The sequence below is a fragment of the Homo sapiens genome, chromosome 5, assembly GCF_000001405.40.
Source record: "Homo sapiens chromosome 5, GRCh38.p14 Primary Assembly".
NCBI classification, from domain to species: Eukaryota; Metazoa; Chordata; class Mammalia; order Primates; family Hominidae; genus Homo; species Homo sapiens.
The window spans coordinates 15,862,502-15,884,823 of record NC_000005.10 but is presented as its reverse complement, the minus strand read 5'-3'; the positions used below and the strand labels follow the sequence as shown (position 1 = coordinate 15,884,823).

The 22,322-nt window shown below is 40.2% G+C and overlaps 1 protein-coding gene and 1 long non-coding RNA gene across 12 annotated transcripts in view; one reads left to right on the top strand and one right to left on the bottom strand.

Annotated features, from left to right (window-relative positions):
• Positions 1-22,322, bottom strand: part of FBXL7 (F-box and leucine rich repeat protein 7) — a 439,614-nt gene that overhangs the window by 54,970 nt on the left and 362,322 nt on the right. The gene's annotated exons all lie outside the window — the stretch shown is intronic.
• LOC107986343 (uncharacterized) overlaps positions 1-22,322 on the top strand; it is a 47,786-nt gene that overhangs the window by 9,382 nt on the left and 16,082 nt on the right. For all 7 annotated transcript variants that reach the window (XR_007058705.1, XR_007058704.1, XR_001742399.2 and 4 more), the window contains 3 exons: positions 655-772; positions 15,686-15,856; positions 22,128-22,243. This is a non-coding gene — a long non-coding RNA (uncharacterized LOC107986343). The remainder of the gene's footprint in view (positions 1-654; positions 773-15,685; positions 15,857-22,127; positions 22,244-22,322) is intronic.

Sequence of the window (22,322 nt, the reverse complement as noted above, 5' to 3'; positions counted from 1 at the left end):
ACTTCTTATCCCACCGCTTTGCCCTTTCTAAAAGAATGTGTTAGGATTACTGTGATTCAAATGGTAAAAATTTTCCCAGTGAAATAAAGACTTTATACCAACTGGATTTCTTGCTTAGAAAGCTGTGTTTTCTCCACTAATATCTTGAATTTGATATTTTCAACTATCTCTATTGAATTCACTTGTAAATGAATTGCGTTTTTCCCTCTATTATGAACTGAATGTTTGTATCTCTTCAAAATTCATATGTTGAGGCTGTAATTCCCAGTGTGGCTATATTTAAAGATGAGGCCTCTAAGGAAGTAATTCTCGTTAAATTTGGCCATAAGATTCCCTGATCCCATCTTGGCTAACACGGTGAAACCCCATCTCTACTAAAAATACAAAAAATTAGCCGGGCGTGGTAGCAGGTACCTGTAGTCCCAGCTACTCGGGAGGCTGAGGCAGGAGAATGGTGTGAACCCGGGAGGTGGAGCTGGCATTGAGCCGAGATCGCACCACTGCACTCCAGCCTGGGAGACAGAGCGAGACTCCATCTCAAAAAAAAAGAAGAAAGAAAGAAAGAAAGAAAGAAGATTCCCTGATCCCATAGTATTAGTGTCCTCCTAAGAAGAGGAAACAGGGGAGCTCACTCTTTCTCTCCTTCTCTCCCAGTGGCCATGTGAGCAGGCAGGGAGATGGTGGCTGCCTAGAAGCCAAGAGAAGTGGCCTCAAGATGAAATCTACCTTGCTGGTACTTTGATCTTGGACTTGCAGCCTCCAGAACTGTGAGGTAAATTTCTATTAAGTGTGTGGGATTTTGTTACAGCAGCCTAAGTTGACTTCTGTACCCTCTCAGTCTGGTTTTGTTTGATCACTTCAGCAACAAAATAATGGAGAAGACAAATGCAGTTATTTGGAGGAAAGATTAAAACTTTCCTTATACAAAATTAATCCCATAAGTATTTATTAGGCAGTTATCCATGTTTGAAATTATACTAGACACTTTAGGAAATAGTTTGGTATTTACAGATTATCTCTACTTGGAATGGTCTGGTAAAAATAGGTGGGTTTTAGAATTTAATTAGTTTGAATGACTCAGCCACATATTCTTGTCCACTACCACCCACTGAAAAAATTGTCTCCAGATGTTCAACAAGGCTGAGTGATCAATAAAACTGGCAATTTGACCAGCAGTGATCTGGGACTTAAGGGAATGTACCTATGATCACATTTTGGACTTTCTGCCCCAATATTTCCAACAAAAATGACGCATATTTCACCACCTGAAGAATGGTAAGTGAATTCGTGGTGCCCAATTTGGTGTTATAAAACCCATTCTTACAACACGAAAAAATTGTTATGCATAAAACTTGTGATGAGAAACCAACATGTGGGAAATCTAGTTTGGTGAATCACAGTTTTTCTATACATGGGTTTAGAAACCACCGAGTATCTCATAGTCTATTTTTCAATAAGAATGGGGCAAAATGGTAGTATTTTATCTTCCAGAAAAAACAAAAATTAAAGAAAAACAAATCAAACCTTAAAACTTCTCTGTCAAAGATAAATGTACATTCTTCTGAATTCCCTGCCCCATCACAAGGCTTTTAGGCAGCATCTATACCAAGATAGCAATTATGCCAACCCTGAACATGTAGGTTAAACATAATCCTTATATTTTCTACCTTAACTTAAATGCTTGAAGGGTACACAATAATATATGATGATAAATTTGAAAAGGATGATTTTAATTATAATGAAGAATTTTTAACAGTTGGGAGTTGGCTGCCATTTTGAAAGATGAGATAATTATTGATAATGTGTCTGAGGCTAAGACAGAGCAAGCTGGGTCCCATTTTATTGATTTTTTTTTCTAAAATGATTAAAGTGATATATCAGAAAATACATTTAATTTATAATCCCTGCAATGAAAAAATACTCTTATATTATTTTCAACATGAAGAGCTCTGACATTCGAGCTGTATTAGGCCTTAAAAGAACTATCTCATCGGGTGATCCCACACTCATATGATTGCTGCTCTGCAAACTCAATCATTAGACCTCAGTTTAATCTTAGGGTTCTGTTCAAGGAGAATGAACTGTGCCCATATGGTATGGTTTTCTTCCAAAGGAGATTGAGAAGAGATTGTGGTTTCTTGCATTAAAGGCCATTTGGCTTCATAAGACTTATTGTTGATACTCCCTTCCTCAGAGCACAGATGTATTTCTGTTTCTGACTAGTGACTTCTGTCAGGTCTGAAATGTTAGTTTTATAGAAATCCTGGCTGTGTAAGAAGAATGGGGAAGGTGGATTGATTCCTAGTCATTGTGAACAGACATTCCTCTTCTCATGGTACCACACTTTGGACAGGTCAGCTACCCAGAGAAAGCTCTACAACCCCAACACCAACCTGGACTAGGTCCCACAAGAAAGCCTGACATGTCAGGTGCTGGGACACTCATCTCTGGCTAGTCACTGAGCCCAGCAGCTCCAGATGACCTGGCGCCACCACTTCCTGACAGCTTCTTCTAGGATCTTACATTCAGTATATCCGGTGTGACTAGTCAGAAGTCACAGAAGCCTACTCAGAAGTAAAGCTAGTGATAAGAGTTTAAATCTGTGTTCCTGCCCAAATCTCATATTAAAATGTAATCCCCATTGTTGGAGGTGGGGCCTGGTTGGAGGTGATTGGATCATGGGGGCAGATTTCTCATGAATGGTTTAGCACCATTCCCCTTGGTGCTGTCGTCACGATAGTGAATGAATTCTCATTTGACCTGGTCCTTTAAAAGTTTGCAGCACCTCTCCCAACACTCCTCCTCTTGCTCCAGCCATGTGAAGTGCCTGTCCCCTCTTTGCCTTCCATCATGATTGTAAGTTTCCTGAGGCCTCCCCAGAAGGTGAGCAGATGCCAGCATTATGCTTCCTATATAGCCTGAAGAACCATGAGCCAATTAGACCTCTTTTCTTTATAAATTACCCAATCTCAGGTATTTCTTTATAGCAATGTGAGAAGAGACTAGTACAGCAAGTGAGTCTTACAAATGAATATGTTTGCCCTTTAAAGATAATCAACTTTTAAGAACTGAATACTATTAACTGTGTTAGCTCTTGGCTGCTCTTAGGTTGGGAATGTCATACAAGGTAGGGAAAGTATGTTTTGGTGGGTAAGAGAAAAGGGAACACTTTCATACTATTGGTGGGAATGTAAACTAATATAACCACTATGGAAAAAAAGTGTGGAGATTCCTTAAAGAACTAAAAGTAGATCTACCATTTGATCCAGCAATCCCACTACTAGGTATCTACTCAGTGGAAAAGAAGTCATGATATGAAAAAGATACTTGCACATGCATATTTATAGCAGCATAATCTGCAATTGCAAAAATATGGAACCAGCCCAAATGCCCATCAATCAAGGAAAGGACAAAGAAAATGTGGTATAAATATACCACAAAATACTATTCAGCCATAAAAGAAACAAAATAATGGCACTCTGCAGCAACGTGGATGGTACTGGAGCCTATTATTCTAAGTGAAGTAACTCAGGAATGGAAAGCCAAACATGGTGTATTCTCACTCATATGTGGGAGCTAAGCTATGAGGATGCAAAGGCATAAGAATGATACAATGAACTTTGGAGACTTGAGGGAAAGGTAGGGGGTGGTGAGGGATAAAAGACTACACATTGGGTACTGCTTGGGTGATGGGTGCACCAAAATCTCAGAAATCACCACTAAAGAACTTATTCATGTAACCCATCACCACCTGTTCCCAAAAAACAAAATAAAATAAGTAAAATATTTTAAAAATTTAAAAAGAGTGAAATTTCTGGAATCAGATAGCTTGGGAAAGTCCATTAATCTTTCTGTGTCTCAGTTTTCTTATCTCTAAAACCAAAATAAAAAACAGTACTAGAATCATAGAATAATAAAGCTTAAATGATCATACTACAGAGCTAGGCTTAAATGAGCATACTACAGAGCATACTACACTTACTACAGTAAGTGTTCAATATATTAGTTTTTTGCTATTGAATAAAAATTACAACTTTCCTTGGCTTACAGGAATTGAATTTATTTTACTAAGTATATATTACTTTATATATATATATATATAATATAGTATATATATTATATATACTAAGTAGAGTGCTTCTCAAACTCTCTGCATTAAAAGGCCAGGTTTTTTGTTTGCAATCCATTGTAGCCTGATAGTTTTGCAAATTATAATCAAAACGAATTAGTAGAAAAATGAAATAAAATGAAACAAAGATATACAAAACCTAAGCTTAAACAGCTGTAAGAAGAGTTTCTAAATGCTTCCTCTCAATTTCTGTACTTCTGTCTTTGTCACTGGGTTGCATAGTTCCCAGGTGGGCACCTGTTCACAGAGTAGCACTGGAAGAAAAAAAGCAGCTGTGTTTCTGCTGGACTGTGGTGCACGTGCAGCTTCTCCTGTGTTGGGGACTCCCCTCCTCCTGAGGTGGAGCTCAGCTCTGAGGGCTAGTGCTAAAAACGTCTGGTGCTTGCAATCTCACTGTTCTTATAGCTATGGCCAGCTCAGGGCGGTGGACCTGGACCCATCAGACACACTCATACTTAGAATGCAAGCTAAACATGAGAAGAAGCAGGAAGAACACAGGAGCAAGTCCAGTAAATGGTAGAGGCAGCACCAGCAGCACCCTCTACTTCCAGAGGTAATAGTAGCCGTGATTTTAGAAGCATCATGGAAGGCAGCTGTGAATGGTCCTTCACCAGACCAGCATCCTGACATGGTTGTGGTCTGCTGTCCTCAAGGTGGAGTCTCTCTGGTTTTCAGATTCTTCTGGAGGGATAGTGATTGACCCAACACTCTTTTAACAAGTTTTTTTTTTCTGCTTAAATTAGTCGATAGATTTGTATTGCTTGAAAACTCAGAACCAGGATTAATTCATATGGATTTAGAAAAGAAAACCATGAAGATAGGTGATCCTGGCATTTGGCATCTCATCACAGCTGGGGATCCTATAGATGTTTAGAATGCTTTGGTATTGATCTCTGTATTATCATCTCATGTACTCACTCTAGCTCTACTCCTTTTTGGTCTTGTTCACAGTACATGCTAACAATACCCTTCAGTTTAGATCTGAAATCGAGCTGAAGATGGATGAATTTGATACTACCTTATGACAGGTTTAAGTGTCATGGGCTTGTAGGCAAGCCATCTGTCACAAGGATGAAAGGAACTGATCTTCCCAGAGTTTCCTTTTTTAGCCTGGGGGAATTTATACCAAGAATTCACTCTTCTGTGATACTAAGCAAAGATTTTGTTCCCTAAAGCTGATTTCTCTCATAGGAAACTGCTCATGTGAAAGCCTCCTGCCATTTAATGGGCAGCAAAGGTAATGTTTTGCTTGGTGGCTAAAGGCCTCTTTAACCTCCAGAGAGGCTAAGTATGGTGCAGACTCCCCTAGGGACACGTGTTCTTCATTCCTGGTGGAGGGCAAGCAGAGGCTATCCTGGCGTCTGGTAGGGATGCTTTAGAATTAGAAAGAAGGAGATTAAACCTGAAGATTTCTTTTCCCTTCACAACTGAGAATCAGGTTACTGTCTTTAAGGATTTCTTCTGGCCGTTATAAATGCTGGGCTTCCAGTTTAATCGGCTAGCATACTAGCATATTTTGCATGACTTCTGCAAGGAGGTAAAAGGATAAAAAAAGATGAACTTCTAGAAGTGAAAATTAATGCACTAGCTTTCATCATCAAGACAGAAATAATTCTTGAGAAAGAAAACAAGTGAAATTGTTACCCAGAAAACTATCCAAGTCTGGTCCCATTCCTAGAGCAACTGATGCAACTGATCTAGATGGACCTAAACATCAAGATTTTTAAAAAGCTCCCCAGCTTTCTGATACTAATGCAAAATGACAGAACCATTGCTTTCTGGTTTCTGGTGGAGACTCTGGGTTCTGCTTTCCCTTCTTAGGGGAGATGTAGCCAGAGTTCAGGTCAGCCAAGGGCAGCTTGAAAAGTGAGAAGGAGGCTAGGAAAGAATATATGAAGACCCTAAGTGCATTTAATCTCCTCCAAAATGTAGTGTATGGACAGAAAACTCAGCCTGGCTGCGTCTCCATTTTCTCTAGCTTCCATCACATTCTTTAATTGACTGTATGAGCTGTGCTTTAGTATGGATGAAAGGCAGTGTGGTTTAATAAAAAGGGTCACCATTAGAAAGGGTTCCAGATTTTCTGTAGGAAATACATGTGTCCAAACATTAGAGAACTCCTCAAGGAGTTGGAGATCCAGAAACTAGATCATAATTTGAGAATTAATTATAAATAGTTTGAAGATAAGTTCCAGGCTCTTTCTCCTGGGCTATGAAGATTAAATCGAGAGCCCACACTGGTCCATCTTCATGCAGAGTTGCTGGAGAACATGGAGAGAGACTTGGGGGGAAAGAAGCCATCAGTGGGTATTTGGTTAACAGCTCAGAAAGGCATTATTTGTAGGGCATCACTTTGAGTTTATTGTGTGTTTCAGTATGTATAAGTATCAGGAGTTTATTGACAGAAATATTGACATCTCCCTAAACAGCTTCCATTATAGCTACTGTAGAAGTAACTTCAGTCCTCTATAATCCCTGACTCCCCGCAACTTCTGCAGTGTTCTTTGTTCAAAAAGATGTGGCTGACCTTGAGGGTGGCGTGCTCTGTGAAGTGCCTGCCAGAACAACTGAAGGATTTACATAGCCTTTTCACACTCACGTTGTCCTCATAGTGCAGCACTTTGGGGAGCTCATTGGTCTGGGTTTTGGTCTGCATTTGTAGCTAAGCTACACTCCCAGAGGGCTGAAACCCAGCACCTCGCCCCTTTAGGACTAGGCCTGAAAGTCTGGTAAGGCTAGAAGGTCATGCGAGAAACTGTATGAAGAGACACAGAGTAAGGATGGGCATGAGAGATGAACACGAACAAGTGTGGAAGATCAGAATTTTTTCAGAGGGTAACTGGTTATAAGTGCTATGTTTCTCTTTAGCGGGAATATTAAAAATATAGTAATTTCTTTAGCAAACAGGTGATCAGACCCGCAAAAATTTAGAAAGCATTATGAGTTATTTTAAAAAGAGAAACTCAGTACCACAGATAGGCTTGGCAATGCAGAAATAACAGTAGACTAAAAATTAATATTACTAATTTTCTCTTTGCTTTATTAATTTCCTCTATTACAGAATCTGTCTTTTGCTACCTACAGAGAGATGGCTCCACATAATCATTTTACATTATTTTATTATTCATTGTTATTTACCTTGCCAAGTGCATAGATCTACACAGCAAAAAATTAGAATGACAAAGATAGGCTGTTTGTATCATCCCAACTGCATCTCTTCAGTCTCTATGGAATTGAAATACGATTAAATGAATCCCTCATGAAAATTAACAGGCAACAAGAAGGAAATTATTATTTCTGTTGCCATTTCACATTAGTCTAACTTTTCTTTGAATATTGCATTATAAAGTCAATAGAAACTATGCAAAGTGACTGAGCAAGAGCTTTCCATTCAAATTCTCAAATAGGCTCATTCATTTTCATAACCCAAATATAATCATGGAATAAGTAGGAGGACTTCTGGAGACTTGAAACAATTTTTACATGTTACTGAAGAGAAAACTGCTGCAAATGTCAAGAGTTGCAGATATGTTGTGAAGCCAGCGACAGCTTTTCAGGAAAAATGGGATGCTGTGTGCTGGGGGTTTGATTTGTCTTTGGTAGTAACTAGCTATGTGATCAGATACAAGCCAGCTGACCTTTCTGAATTTGGAATAAACGCTGATATCTAGAAAAAGCAAATTCACAGTGATGTTAAATATTTAAAATCTCTGCTCTTTGACATACAAAACTTTAGAGGAATGAACCCAGGTTTAGAATGCCTTTTCAGTTCTTCATTCATCAATTCACAAAATACTTAGTAACCATCTCCCACTAGTAGGGCTCAGTGCCTCACACTGATAAATTTGTTTCATTCTGCAAACTATCAGGCATCATGTAGTGAAAATACTTTCTAAAAGGCATTACCTGACTTTAGTTTTCTAATTGCTTATTTTAAAGAAATTGAAATAAGAGCTCCCATAAGTGGAACTTAGATGACAAATATACCTAACTATAACACAGAAAGGTTAAAAAATAGATACAGGTTAATAGTTTCTTACTATAAGAAGTAAAGTCAGTTTCTTATTTTGATGTCCATGTGCAGTAACTGGTAGAGTTTCTAAGTTTCACGTTTCTAATACTCAAATGAAGAGAAACCTTTGAACATGGAGCTTAAAAGCAATGCCCTTACTGAGTGCAAAATCAACACATTAGCTATAAATTAATCAACTAAAATGTCATATTTTCAAACTAACTTTAAATGCAACATAATAAGTATCTAGTTTAAAATAATGGGAACACCTTTTTTTTTTAATTATTATACTTTAAGTTCTGGGACACATGTGTAGAACGTTCAGGTTTCTTACATAGATATACATGTGCCATGGTGGTTTGCTGCACCCATCAACCCGTCATCTACATTAGGTATTTCTCCTAATGCTATCCCTCCCCTAACCCCCCACCCTCTGACAGGCACCCATGTGCGATGTTCCCTTCCCTGTATCCATGTGTTCTCATTGTTCAACTCCCACTTATGAGTGAGAACATGCGGTATTGGGTTTTCTGTTCTGTTAGTTTGCTGAGAATGATGGTTTCCAGCTTCATCCATGTCCCTGCAAAGGACATGAACTCATTCTGTTTTATGGCTGCATATTATTCCATGGTGTATATTTGCCACATTTTCTTTATCCAGTCTATCACTGATGGGCATCTGGGTTGGTTCCAAGTCTTTGATATTGTGAATAGTGCTTTAATAAACATACGTGTGCATGTGTCTTTATAGTAGAATGATTTATAATCCTTTGGGTATATACCCAGTAATGGGATTGCTGGGTCAAATGGTATTTCTAGTTCTAGATCCTTAAGAAATTGCCACACTGTCTTCCACAATGGTTGAACTAATTTACACTCCCACCGTCAGTGTAAAAGCTTTCTTATTTCTCCACATCCTCTCCAGGATCTGTTGTTTCCTGACTTTTTAATGATCACCATTTTAACTGGTGTGAGATGGTATTTCATTGTGGTTTTGATTTGCATTTCTCTAATGGCCAGCGACGATGAGCTTTTTTTCATGTTTGCTGGCCGTATAAATGTCTTCTTTTGAAAAGTGTCTGTTCATATACTCTGCCCAATTTTTGATGGGGTTTTTTGTTTTTTTCTTGTAAATTTGCTTAAGTTCCTTGTAGATTCTGGGTATTAGCTCTTTGTCAGATGGATGGATTGCAAAAATTTTCTCCCATTCTGTAGGTTGCCTGTTCACTCTGATGATAGTTTCTTTTCCTGTGCAGAAGCTATTTAGTTTAATTAGATCCTATTTGTCAATTTTGGCTTTTGTTGCCATTGCTTTTGGTGTTTTAGTCATGAAGTCTTTGCACATGCAATGGTATTGCCTAGGTTTTCTTCTAGGGTTTTTATGGTTTTAGATCTTATGTTTACATCTTTAATCTATCTGGAGTTAATTTTTGCGTAAGATGTAAGGAAGGGGTCCAGTGTCAACTTTCTGCCTATGGCTAGCCAATTTTCCTAGCACCATTTATTAAATAGGGAATCCTTTCCCCACTGCTTGTTTTATCAGGTTTGTCAAAGATCAGATGTGTGTAGATGTGTGACGTTATTTCTGAGGCCTCTGTTCTGTTCCATTGGTCTATATATCTGTTTTGGTACCAGTACTATGCTGTTTTGGTTATTTTAGCCTTGTAGTATAGTTTGAAGTCAGGTAGCGTGATGCCTCCAGCTTTGTTCTTTTTGCTTAGGATTTTCTTGGCTATATGGGCTCTTTTTTCATTCCATATGAAATTTAAAGTAGGTTTTTCTAATTCTGTGAAGAAAGTCAATGGTAGCTTGATGGGGATAGCATTGAATCTATAAATTACTTTGGGCAGTATGGCCATTTTCACAATATTTATTTTTCCTATCCATGAGCATGGAATGTTCTTCCATTTGTTTGTGTCCTCTCTGATTTCCTTGAGCAGTGGTTTGTAGTTCTCCTTGAAGAGGTCCTTCACATCCCTTGTAAGTTGTATTCCTAGGTATTTTATTCTCTTTGTAGCAATTGTGAATGGGAGTTTGCTCATGATTTGGCTGTTTGTCTATTATTGGTGTATAGGAATGGTTGTGATTTTTGCACATTGATTTTGTATCCTGAGACTTAGCTGAAGTTGCTTATCAGCTTAAGGAGTTTCTGGGCTGAGATGATGGGGTTCTCTAAATATAAAATCATGTCATCTGCAAACAGAGATAAATTGACTTCATCTCTTCCTATTTGAATATGCTTTATTTCTTTCTCTTGCCTGACTGCCCTGACCAGAACTTCCAATACTATGTTGAATAGGAGTGGTGAGAGAGGGCATCCTTGTCCTGTGCTGGTTTTCAAAGGGAATGCTTCCAGCTTTTGTCCATTCAGTATATTGGCTGTGGGTCTGCCATATACAGCTCTTATTATTTTGAGACATGTTTCATCAATACCTAGTTTATTGTGTGTTTTTAGCATGAAGGGCTGTTGAATTTTGTCAAAGGCTTTTTCTGCATCTTTTGAGATAATCATGTGGTTTTTGTCGTTGGTTCTGTTTATGTGATGGATTACGTTTATTGATTTGCATATGTTGAACCAGCTTTGCATCCCAGGGATGAAGCTGACTTGATTGTGGTGGATAAGCTTTTTAATGTGCTACTGGATTTGGTTTGCCAGTATTTTATTGGGTATTTTCGCATTGATCTTCATCAGGGATATTGGCCTGAAATTTTCTTTTTTTGTGTGTGTCTCTGCCAGGTTTTGTTATTAGGATGATTTTGGCCTCATAAAAAATGAGTTAGGGAGGATTCCCTCTTTTTCTATCGTTTGGAATAGTTTCAGAAGGAATGGTACCAGCTCCTCTTTGTACCTCTGGTAGAATTCAGCTGTGAATACACCTGGTCCTGGGCCTCTTTTGGTTGGTAGGCTATTAATTGCTGCCTCAATTTCAGAACTTGTTATTGGTCTAGTCAGGGATTTGACTTCTTCCTGGTTTAGTCTTGGGAGGGCGTATGTGTCCAGGAATTTATGCACTTCTTCTAGATTTTCTAGTATATTTGTGTAGAGGTGTTTATGGTATTCTCTGAGAGTACTTTGTATTTCTGCGGGATCAGTGATGATCTCCCCTTTATCATTCTTTTATTGTGTATATTTGATTCTTCTCTATTTTCTTCTTTATTAGTCTGGCTAGTGGTCTATCTATTTTGCTATTCTTTTCAAAAAACCACCTCCTGGATTCATTGATTTTTTTGAAGGGTTTTTTTGTGTCTCTATCTCCCTCAGTTCTGCTCTAATCTTTGTTATTTCTTGTCTTCTGCTGGCTTTTGAATTTGTTTGCTCTTGCTTCTCTAGTTCTTTTAATTGTGATGTTAGGGTGTCAATTTTAGATCTTTCCCGCTTTCTCCTGGGGGCATTTAGTGCTATAAATTTCCCTCTAAACACTGCTTTAGCTGTGTCCCACAGATTCTGGTACATTGTGTCTTTGTTCTCATTGGTTTCAAACAACTTATTCATTTTTGCCTTAAGTCATTCAGGAGCAGGTTGTTCAGTTTCCATGTAGTTGTGCAGTTTTGAGTGAGTTTCTTAATCCTGAGTTCTAATTTGATTGCACTGTGGACTGACAGACTCTTTCTTATGATTTCCATTCTTTTGCATTTGCCGAGGAGTGTTTTACTTCCAATTATGTGGTTGATTTTAGAATAAGTGCTATGTGGTGCTGAGAAGAATGTATATTCTGTTGATTTGGGGTGGAGAGTTCTCTAGATGTCTATTAGGTCCACTTGGTCCAGAGCTGAGTTCAAGTCCTGAATATCCTTCTTAATTTTCTGTCTTGTTGATATGTCTAATATTGATAGTGGGGTGTTAAGGTCGCTCACTATTATTGTGTGGGAATCTACATCTCTATGTAGTCTCTATGAACTTGCTTTATGAATCTGGGTGCTCCTGTATTGGGTGCAAATATATTTAGGATAGTTAACCCTTCTTGTTGCAGTGATCCCTTTACCATTATGTAATGTCCTTCTGTCTTTTTTGATCTTTGTTGGTTTAAAGTCTGTTTTATCAGAGACTAGGATTGCAACCCCTGTTTTTTTTCTTGCTTTACATTTGCTTGGTAAATCTTCCTCCATCTGCTTATTTTGAGCCTATGTGTGTCTTTGCACATGAGATGGGTCTCCTGAATACAGCACAGCGATGGGCCTAGACTCTCTATCCAATTTGCCAGTCTGTGCCTTTTAATTGGGGAATTTAGTCCATTTACATTTAAGGTTAATATTGTTATTGTTATTGTTATTGTTATGTGTGAACTTGATCCTGTCATTATGATGCTAGCTGGCTAGTTGATGCAGCTTCTTCATAGTGTTGATGGTCTTTACAAGTTGGTATGTTTTTGCAATGGCTGGTACCAGTTTTTCCTTTCTGTATTTAGTGCTTCCTGCTCTTGTAAGGCAGGTCTGGTGGTGACAAAATCCCTCAGTATTTCCTTGTCTGGAAAGGATTTTATTTCTCCTTTGCTTATGAAGCTGTTTGGCTGGATATGAAATTCTGGGTTGAAAATTCTTTTAAGAATGTTGAATATTGTCCCCCACTGTCTTGTGGCTTGTAGGGTTTCTGCAGAGAGATCCGCTCTTAGTCTGCTGGACTTCCCTTTGTGGGTAACCCGACCTTTCTCTCTGGCTGCCCTTAACATTTTTTCCTTCATTTCAACTTTGGGGAATCTGATGATTGTGTGTCTTGGAGTTGCTATTCTTGAGGATTATCTTTGTGGTGTTCTCTGTATTTCATAAATTTGAATGTTTGCCTATCTTGCTATGGTGGATAAGTTCTCCTGAATAATATCCTGAAGTGTGTTTTCCAACTTGGTTCCATTCTCCCCATCACTTTCAGGTACATCAATCAAACGTTGGTTTTTTCACATAGTCCCATATTTCCTGGAGGCTTTTTCCTTCCTTTTCATTCTTTTTTCTCTAATCTTGTCTTCATGCTTTAATGATCTTCAATCTCTGATATCCTTTCTTCCACTTGATCAATTCAGCTATTGATACTTGTGTATGCTCCACGAAGTTCTCGTGCTGTGTTTTTCAGCTCCATCAGGTCATTTAAGTTCTTCTGTAAACTAGTTATTCTAGTTAGCAATTCCTCTCACCTTTTATCAAGGTTCTTAGCTTCCTTGCATTGGGTTAGAACATGCTCCTTTAGCTCAGAGGAGTTTGTTATTACCCACCTTCTGAAGCCTACTTCTGTCAATTCGTCAAACTCATTCTCCATCCACTTTTGTTCCCTTGCTGGCAAGGAGTTGTGATCTTTTGGAGGAGAAGAGGCATTCTAGTTTTTGGAATTTTCAGCCTTTTTGTGCTGGTTTTTCCTCATCTTCGTGGATTTATCTACCTTTGGTCTTTGGTGTTGGTGACCTTTGGATGGAGCTTTTGCATTGTCATCCTTTTTGTTGATGTTGATGCTATTGCTTTTTGTTTGTTAGTTTTCCTTCTAACAGTCTGCAGGTCTGCTGGAGTTTGCTGGGGGTCCACTCCAGACCCTGTTTGCCTGGGTGTCACCAGCAGAGGCTGCAGAACAGCAGATATTGCTGCCTGCTCCTTCCTGTGGAAGCTTCATCCCAGAGGGACACCTGCCAGATGCCAGCAAGAGCTCTCCTGTATGAGGTGTTTGTCAGCTCCTGCTGGGAGATGTCTCCCCATCAGGAGGCACGTGGGTCAGGGACCCACTTGAGGAGGCAGTCTGTCCCTTAGCAGAGCTTGAACGCTGTGCTGGGAGATCTGCTGCTCTCTTCAGAGCTGGCAGGAAGGAACGTGTAAGTCTGCTGAAGCTGTGCCCACAGCCGCCCCTTCCCCTGGGTGCTTGCCTGAGTGAGATGGGAGTTTTATCTATAAGCCCCTGAGTGGGGCTGCTGCCTTTCTTTCAGAGATGCCCTGCTCAGAGAGGAGGAATCTAGAGAGGCATTCTGGCTATAGTGGCTCTGTGGCACTGTGGTGGGCTCCACCCAGTCCAAACTTAGTGGGAACACTTTAATATAACTTCTTTAATTTACAAGTGATATAACTACATAATAAAAATGTGATAGAAAAACTAATTTATAGTCAATATACCCAGCAAAACCAGCATGAACATGTTTGAGTAATCCCCCCACCATCTTTTTCTTACTAAATTTCCCTCTACCCTAACTGACACTCCAAAAAACCCTTAATCTTTTCCTTCCTTCCAGGTGTATCTAACCTCATCCTCTCTACTGCCACAGGAGGGACTTTTCTGATCCGTGCATTTGTTTCTCCATTCTCCCTCTTCAAATGCTCCAGCAGTGCCTTGGAGTCTTTGGGATAAGTCCACACTCCACAGCATGGTCTTTAAGCCTCTTGATTTTGTCTGTGCCACCTCACCAACCTCTGCTCTTCATACATTGCCACACCCCCATCTCCATGCAACCCCTGAATGCCTGCTTATGATTTTAAACTCAACCCTGGCTCACCAACTCCAAAACATCATCCCCATCCCACCCCCATGGATCATTTAGGTTGGTAGGTCCCTTCTTTTCCCCCCTCACCATACCTTGACAATAGCAACTAACTTATTATTGTTATTATTGACAGAGGGTCTCACTCTGTCACCCATCCTGGAGTACAGTGGTGCAATCGCGGATCACTATATCCTTAAGCTCCTGGGTTTAAGTGATCCTTCCACCTCAGCCTCCTGCGTAGCTGATACTACAGGAGTGTGCCACCACATCCAGCTAATTTTTGTATTTTTTGTAAAGACAGGATTTCATCATGTTGCCCAGGCTGGTCTGGAACTCCTGGACTCAAGTGATCTGCACATCTCAGCCTCCCAAAGTATTGGGATTACAGGTGTGAGCCACCATGGCCAGCTTAATTATTATTTTGATGATTCCCCAAAACAGTATTGATGAAAACCGTGAGATTACATAGCAACAATATGTATTCCCAAAACACCAATTTTACTCAGTGGCGTAGTTTTAAACACTTCATGACAAAATATATGCTCAAAATATGTTTTGAAGATTGACTACTAATCTGGGCACTGGGGATACAGCGGCGAACAAAACATATAAAAATCTCTATTTAGGGATCCCTAAATCCTGCTTAGGGATCTGCTATTTAGAGAAGGATTTGGATAAGATACCAAAACAAATTAGTAAATTCTATATTATATTGGAAAGCATTAAGAGGGAAGATGACGTAATTTATTGTCTCAGTCTGGACAATTCTTGCGTGAAAGAAGTGCCCCTGATAATTACACCAGGGCCACATGTGTCGGCCGGAAGTACGGCTGATAACAACATTAAAGCAGTGTTTGTTAACGGGGACTGTCCCATTTAGCCTGGGGAGCATGATGTGGTAGGCAGCTTCTGACAAGGCTCCCCCAAATGCCTGCTTCCTGGTATTCACACCCTTGTGTAATCACCTCTAACTATGGGCTAGACCTAGTGACTTCCTTCTAACAAAGAAAATATAGGCAAAGTGATGGGATATCACTTCCAAGATTAGGCTACAAAGTCTGTGACTCCCGTCTTACTAGCACTCTCTCTTGCCTTCTAGGCTTGTCCATTTTAATGAGAAGCTTATGTGGCATGGAACTGAGTTCACCCCCAACCAGCAGCTGGTGAGGAATGGAGCTCTTCGTTCAATGACTCATAATGAGCTTTGAGACAACCAAAGCCCCCTAGCTAACCTGTGCCTGGATTCCTGGCCCACAAAGACAGTGAGAGAGTAAGTACGTATTGTTTGAAGTCCCTTAGTTTTGGGGTGATTTGTTACACAGCGATAGTTAACTCTTATATACAATTACTCTAGTGGCAAGTACTACGGGGAAAAAAATGAAGTAGGGAAGAGAACTAGAATGTGATGAGGTTGGGGGTGAGGGATGAGTTGAAATCTTAAGTAGCATGACCAAGGAAGGACTTTAAGGAGGAGGTTCCATTGAATGGAAACTTGACAGAGGTGAGATTGTGTCATGTAGACATCTGCGGGGAGATCCTTCCAGGCTGAGGGGCATGGATTTGTAATGAGGTGGAGGTGAAAATTCATATGTGCCAACCATCTTCTGAGTGCTTTACCTATACCTTCACATGCTGTCCACACAGAAGCCTAAGCGACAGGTTCTGGATTCTATCCATGTACAGAATGTGGCCACTCAGATTTAGTTCCCCAAATCACACTGCAGTAGCATTGATGCTGGGTACTAAACACAGTTCTGTTGAGTCCAAGTCCATGCCGGAGAAGGTATCTTAGTTTCCTTTTGCTGCTGTAATGAATTATCATGGACTTAGTGGCTTAACACATGCAAATTTATAATTTTACAGTTTTGTGGGTCAGAATTCTGGCATGGATCTCACCAGGCTAAGATCAAGGCATCAGGAGAGCTGCATTCTTTTCTGGAGGTTCTAGAGGCAAACTCATTTATCTTCTCATTCAGACTGTTGACAGAATTCCACTGTAGGACTTGGCTTTGCAGGTTGTAGGTTCCTGTTGCCTTGCTGGCTTGCCAGCCAGGGGCTGCTCCCTGATTCTAGAGGACACCCACATTCCTTGGCCCATGGTCCCTTTCCTCCATTTTTTTTTTTTTTTTTTTTTTGAGACGGAGTCTTGCTCTGTCGCCACGCTGGAGTACAGTGGCGCAATCTCAGCTCACCGCAACCTCCGCCTCCCGGGTTCAAGTGATTCTCCTGCCTCAGCCTCCTAAGTAGCTGAGACTACAGGTGCACACCACCACACCCGGCTAATTTTTGTATTTTTACCAGAGACGGGGTTTCACCATGTTGGCCAGGATGGTCTTGATCTCTTGACCTTGTGATCCGCCTGCCTCACCCTCCCACAGTGCTGGGATTACAGGCATGAGCCACTGCACCCAGCCCTTTTCCTCCATTTTTAAAGCCAGCAACAGTGGGTAGAGTCCCTCTAACACTTTGAATCTTTCCTGCCTCTTTGTTGTGGTTGTGTTTCTTCTGCCTGTCTCTTCCACTTTAAGCACCCAGGTGATCAGACTGAGCCCACTTAAGTAATCAAGATTAATCTCCCTCTATTAAGTTCAGTAACCTTAATTCAATCTGCAAAATCCTTTTTGCCATTTAATAGAACTCATTCACAGATTCCAGAGATTGGCATACAGACACTTTGGGGGCCATTATTGTACTTCCCAGAGGGGCATTTTGGGAAAACAATATCAGAATTACTGAAGATACAAGGATGTTCTGTTGGAGTTGAAACACAAGTAAACCAGTCACTGCTGTGACAGGTCTATGTGATAGATGTTATTTATGGGACTGACACCAACTTCCTTAGACTGAAGGACTGTCAAGACAGGCTTTCTGTAGGACGTGTGTTTGAGTTAAGTCTTAAGGATAGTCAGGAGAAGGTGGAGATGATAGGTAGTCTTCTAGAGAGAGGAAGCCTGGAGCAAAATCACTAAGTTGATGAACAGCATGCCCAGTTTAAAGAACTGTATGCTAAGAACTGAAAGCCACCTGCTTTAGGGAAGGGAAGACTGTGAGTGATTCCAAGTCTGAGAGAACAGGGGACTTTAGTGCATAGTGAGTACTGAAACTTTATCCTAAAGGATATGGATTTGAATTTACAAGGTCTTCTAATTAAAGAGATTTGAATATCAGGATTTATATGTAGAGTGGAAAAAAAGCGCTGCTCTATGCCTCACCTCCAAATTTATTTCCTACCATAATGTATCTTTCTTAAGTTTCTAACTTAACTCTCAAGTTAGACAGGGACAAAAGTTGGTTCATTCTACCCCATTCCATATAAGTGATGGGCATTAATAGACTGGGTTAAAAAAATGTGGTACATATACACCATGGAAGACTATACAGCCATAAAAAGGAATGAAATTGTGTCTTTTGCAGGGATATGGATGAAGCTGGAAGCCATCATCCTCAGTAAACTAACACAGTAACAGAAAACCAAATACCGCATATTCTCACTTATAAGTGGGAGTTGAACAATGAGAACACATGGACACAGAGGGGGAACAACACACGCCAGGTCTTGTTGGGGGGTGGGGGGTGAGGGGAGGGAAATTAAAGGATGGGTCAATAGGTGCGGCAAACCACCATGGCACACATATGCCTATGTAACAAACCTGCACATTCTGCACATGTATCCCATTTTTTTTTAGAAGAAATAAAAAAAAAGTAATGGGCATTAGCTACAGATAAAGTTAAAGGAAAAAATACAGGAACAATTTCTCAGAAGTATCATTTGAAAACTTCTGATCATGAGTGGCTAGCTATCTGCACATATGTGTTATATTACTGTATTCACAACCTGTGAATGTTTTGGTGGTTTTCTCTGATAATGCACATTATATATTAGACATTGATGTCAGTGACTTAACTAATTCTAGCAATGGTTAGGAAAACATCTTGGTCCAGTAACATTTTTCACTCAGCTAATAATTCCACAGTTGCAAGGCTCATTCCTGTGTCTACATGTGACAAATAACATGTAGAACTGCAGCCATAATTGAAAACAAAATCTACCTCTGTTTCATTCGCACAATTTCTAGGGAAAAGGAGACTTTTTTTTCCAGTAACAAAACTGTCATATAGATTTTATCCTAGGAGAAAAAATACAAACAATTTTATTTCTGTAAGAATTATTTGGCTATGGTGGGCCTTCTGGTCTAAGGGGTCCCATTGTTGTCATCTTTAAAGATAATAAGAATGGGTAGGAGATCTACTCTTAACGAAAACTAGAGAATTACATGTTCTGGTGTCAGGGAGGGAGCAGTTACTTTATGTGGGCATTTTCCCTGAAGCTGTTATTTAGGGGATTGTTTTCTCTGACCTTTGAAGCACTTTTAATTTTTTCAACATGTAAAGAAAGGCCAGCATTTCATCTCACAACAATTATGATGAAAATAGCTCTAAGTAAAAGTGAGTTGAAAGGAACTGTCCTCACCACATGGTTCTATTGTATATTGTTTTCAAGAAGGCATTTTAAGGAGAGAGAAGGGAGGAGGGAAGAAGAAGGGGAAAAAAGGGAGACAGAAATAGAAGTGGGGGTGGGGAGAGAGAGAGAGACCCAGAGACCAAGAACGGAGTAAGCAAAATGCTGAGTGAAGATGTAAAGGGATTAGGAGAGAGGGTGCTAAGAGTGAGAGGCTTGTCATCAATTCTTAGCTTCATCCGTGGGTCTGTGAAGTGTGATGGAGAGGCAGCATTATGCAGTGCAGGAATTAAGTCTAAGTTATAGAAGTATCTTTGCTTCTAGATCCTCCTGACATATATAATCTCAATTCAAATCTTTCTCTCTTTAAAGCCCTCTTCGAACATTCAGGTAAGCTCCAATTTGCTTTTAAGCTGTTTTCTCCCTGTGGGACCAGGATCTAATCAGTCTCATTATGGATAGCTATGGTACTCATTCAACCTCCTTGCAACCTTTCCTTTGGGAACAGCCCTTCCTTCAGCTCGTAGCATTTAGATGGAGCTGTCAGTCAGGGCGTTACTCCTCTCCCACAGAAGCTGGACAAATGATGCTTACTTACCCATCAGAGACCTTTTGGGGGCTGGAATGGATGTTTGGAGCCAGAGATGGTTTCTCTCCTTATGAAATTTTGAGTTATAATGACCACTTAAGTTTAAAATGGTAATCCTTCCCATCATGTAAAGAGAATCCTTCAGCAAATGAAAGCAGCACTGCCAGAAATCAGAGCCAAGTCTTGGAGGGAGAATCAGTTCCTGAGATCATTCACAGAATGTCTGAATTTAGCCAGCCTAAAGGAAGACAATACCAGACCTTTTTATCTGCAGCAGCCAATAGACTCCATCTTAAGTTGAGGCTAGTTTGAGCTTGCATTCTTTTCCCTGCAATGGAAAAGGCCTTAGATATAATAATATTTCTTTAATATTTTCTTAAGATGGATTTCAATAGAAATTAGAATCTACTGAACCTGCTGACTTATTCTACTGCAACGTAAACCATGTGTCTTGGCTACATTTCAGCATTAACAAATCTGCACTACTTTTCTGGTTCCTCCCAGTAACTTTATTCTACTTGTTCTGTGACACTTGTGTTAAGCGATTTCTGCCAAGTTTGGTTACTCTTCTCTGAGAGACCTAACAGATAATCTTATTTTCATCCATTCTTAGCACCTCGCAGTCCTCAATACCCATCCGTAACTCTAGTCAATAGACCATCAGTGATAGGGAACCACCTACAACTCTAGAATATCAATGACAGGGCTTCTGGAAATGGTGTCTTAGTCCATTTGGATTGCTATAAAGGAATACCTAGGCTGAGTAATTCAGAATGGAAAAAAAAAGTTTGATTTACAATTCTAATGACCACCAAGTACAAGATTAGGCACTGATAGAGAACCACCTACAACTCTAGAATATCAGTGACAGGGCTTCTAGAAATGGTGTCTTAGTCCATTTGGGTTGCTATAAAGGAATACCTAGACTGGGTAATTCAGAATGAAAAAAAAGTTTGTTTGATTTACAATTCTAATGACCACCAAGTTCAAGATTAGGCAGTGATAGGGAACCACCTACAACTCTAGAATATCAATGACAGGGCTTCTAGAAATGGTGTCTTAGTCCATTTGGGTTGCTATAAAGGAATACCTAGACACTCATGTTAAGTGATTTCTGCCAAGTTTGGTTACTCTTCTCTGAGAGACCTGACAGATAATCTTATTTTCATCCATTCTTAGCACATCACAGTCCTCAATACCCATCCGTAACTCTAGTCAATAGACTATCAGTGATAGGGAACCACCTACAACTCTAGAATTGATTTACAATTCTAATGGCTACCAAGTTCAAGATTAGGCATCTAGTGAGGGCCAACAGCTGCTTCCACTCATGGTGGAAGGCGAGGAGGACCCTGCATGGGCAGAGAGCATACAAAGAGAGGAAGCATGAGAGAGTGAGGAGGTACCAGGTTCTTTTTAACAACCAGCTCTCTTGGTGAACTAACAGGGTGAGAACTCACTCATCACCAAAAGAGAGCATTATTCTATTCATGAGGGCTCTGTCTCCATGACCCAAATACCTCCCACTAGGCCCCACCTCCCAGGACTGACACACTGATGAAATTTCAACATGAGATTTGGTGGTGACAAATGAACCATATCCAAACCATAAGAGACAGCAAGAGGAACACAGAAATGGTGCCAGACAGTAAAAGGAATTTTGTCACCAATGTGAGGTCACATCGACCATTCTCCATGGCTCCCATGTAGATATTTTATGACCCTAGCCCACGTGGATCACATCAGACTGGTACCTGTCAAATTCCTGCCTTGATTTATGTGAATATAACTCTATATTCTCTGGCAAAAGCACATGAAAAAAGACTTTTTCTTCTTAAATAAAAATGGGCCCTTAAAAAGAAAATGATGACCAGAAAGCACATGTTCCAAGTGGAAAAGGTTAACACTGAAAATCTTTAATTTTAGGGATTTCCTCAGTTCTTCTCTTAAGCTTCTATTTCTCGCTTTCCATCCTTGGGTTTTTGCTACTTATTGCTACCTGCACTAGAGAGCAAATAAAATGAAATCTAATTTAGAGTGGACGTCTGCTACCTCACAGTGCCCTTTGGGAAATTTTAGTACAAGAGGTCACTGTTTAAACACTTTGCTATACATCATGTGTGGGGATTGCAGTCAACCGAGATACCCCTGTGCAGTGTACACACACCCATACATAAGAACATGCTCTCAATACACACAGATGTGCACATGTAGTAAAATGTTTGAGTTCCCCAGGGGCTTTCTTAGATGGGAATGAGCAGCCCTACTGGCCTCAGGTTTTGGATGTGGCATAGGATAGGGAGTATGGGACAGAATCCCTTTCCTCCACGTCAGTAAGGACGAGGCTCCACCCCAGCTGGACTCTCAGGGAGTTGAGGTTCCTTTCTGCTGCACATCAGCACTCCCTGCTTCTGCCCCAAATCAGCTTTGCCCACCTTCCCACTGCCACATCATCCAGCTGCTTCAGTGGCATGTTCCTGTTCTGCATGGCAGGGGACCCAACTCAGCCCATGAAGCCACTGAAATACAGGAAAGAGCATCTTCATTGAAGCCACTGGAGCATGGGAAAGAGCACCACCAGCTCCCTGCTCGCTAGCTGTGAACCTCAGGTACTCTACAGATCTTTGAGTTGTTTCCTTAATTTGTTAATTGAGAATAAAAATGACTGCCTAATAAGAGTCTTGTGAG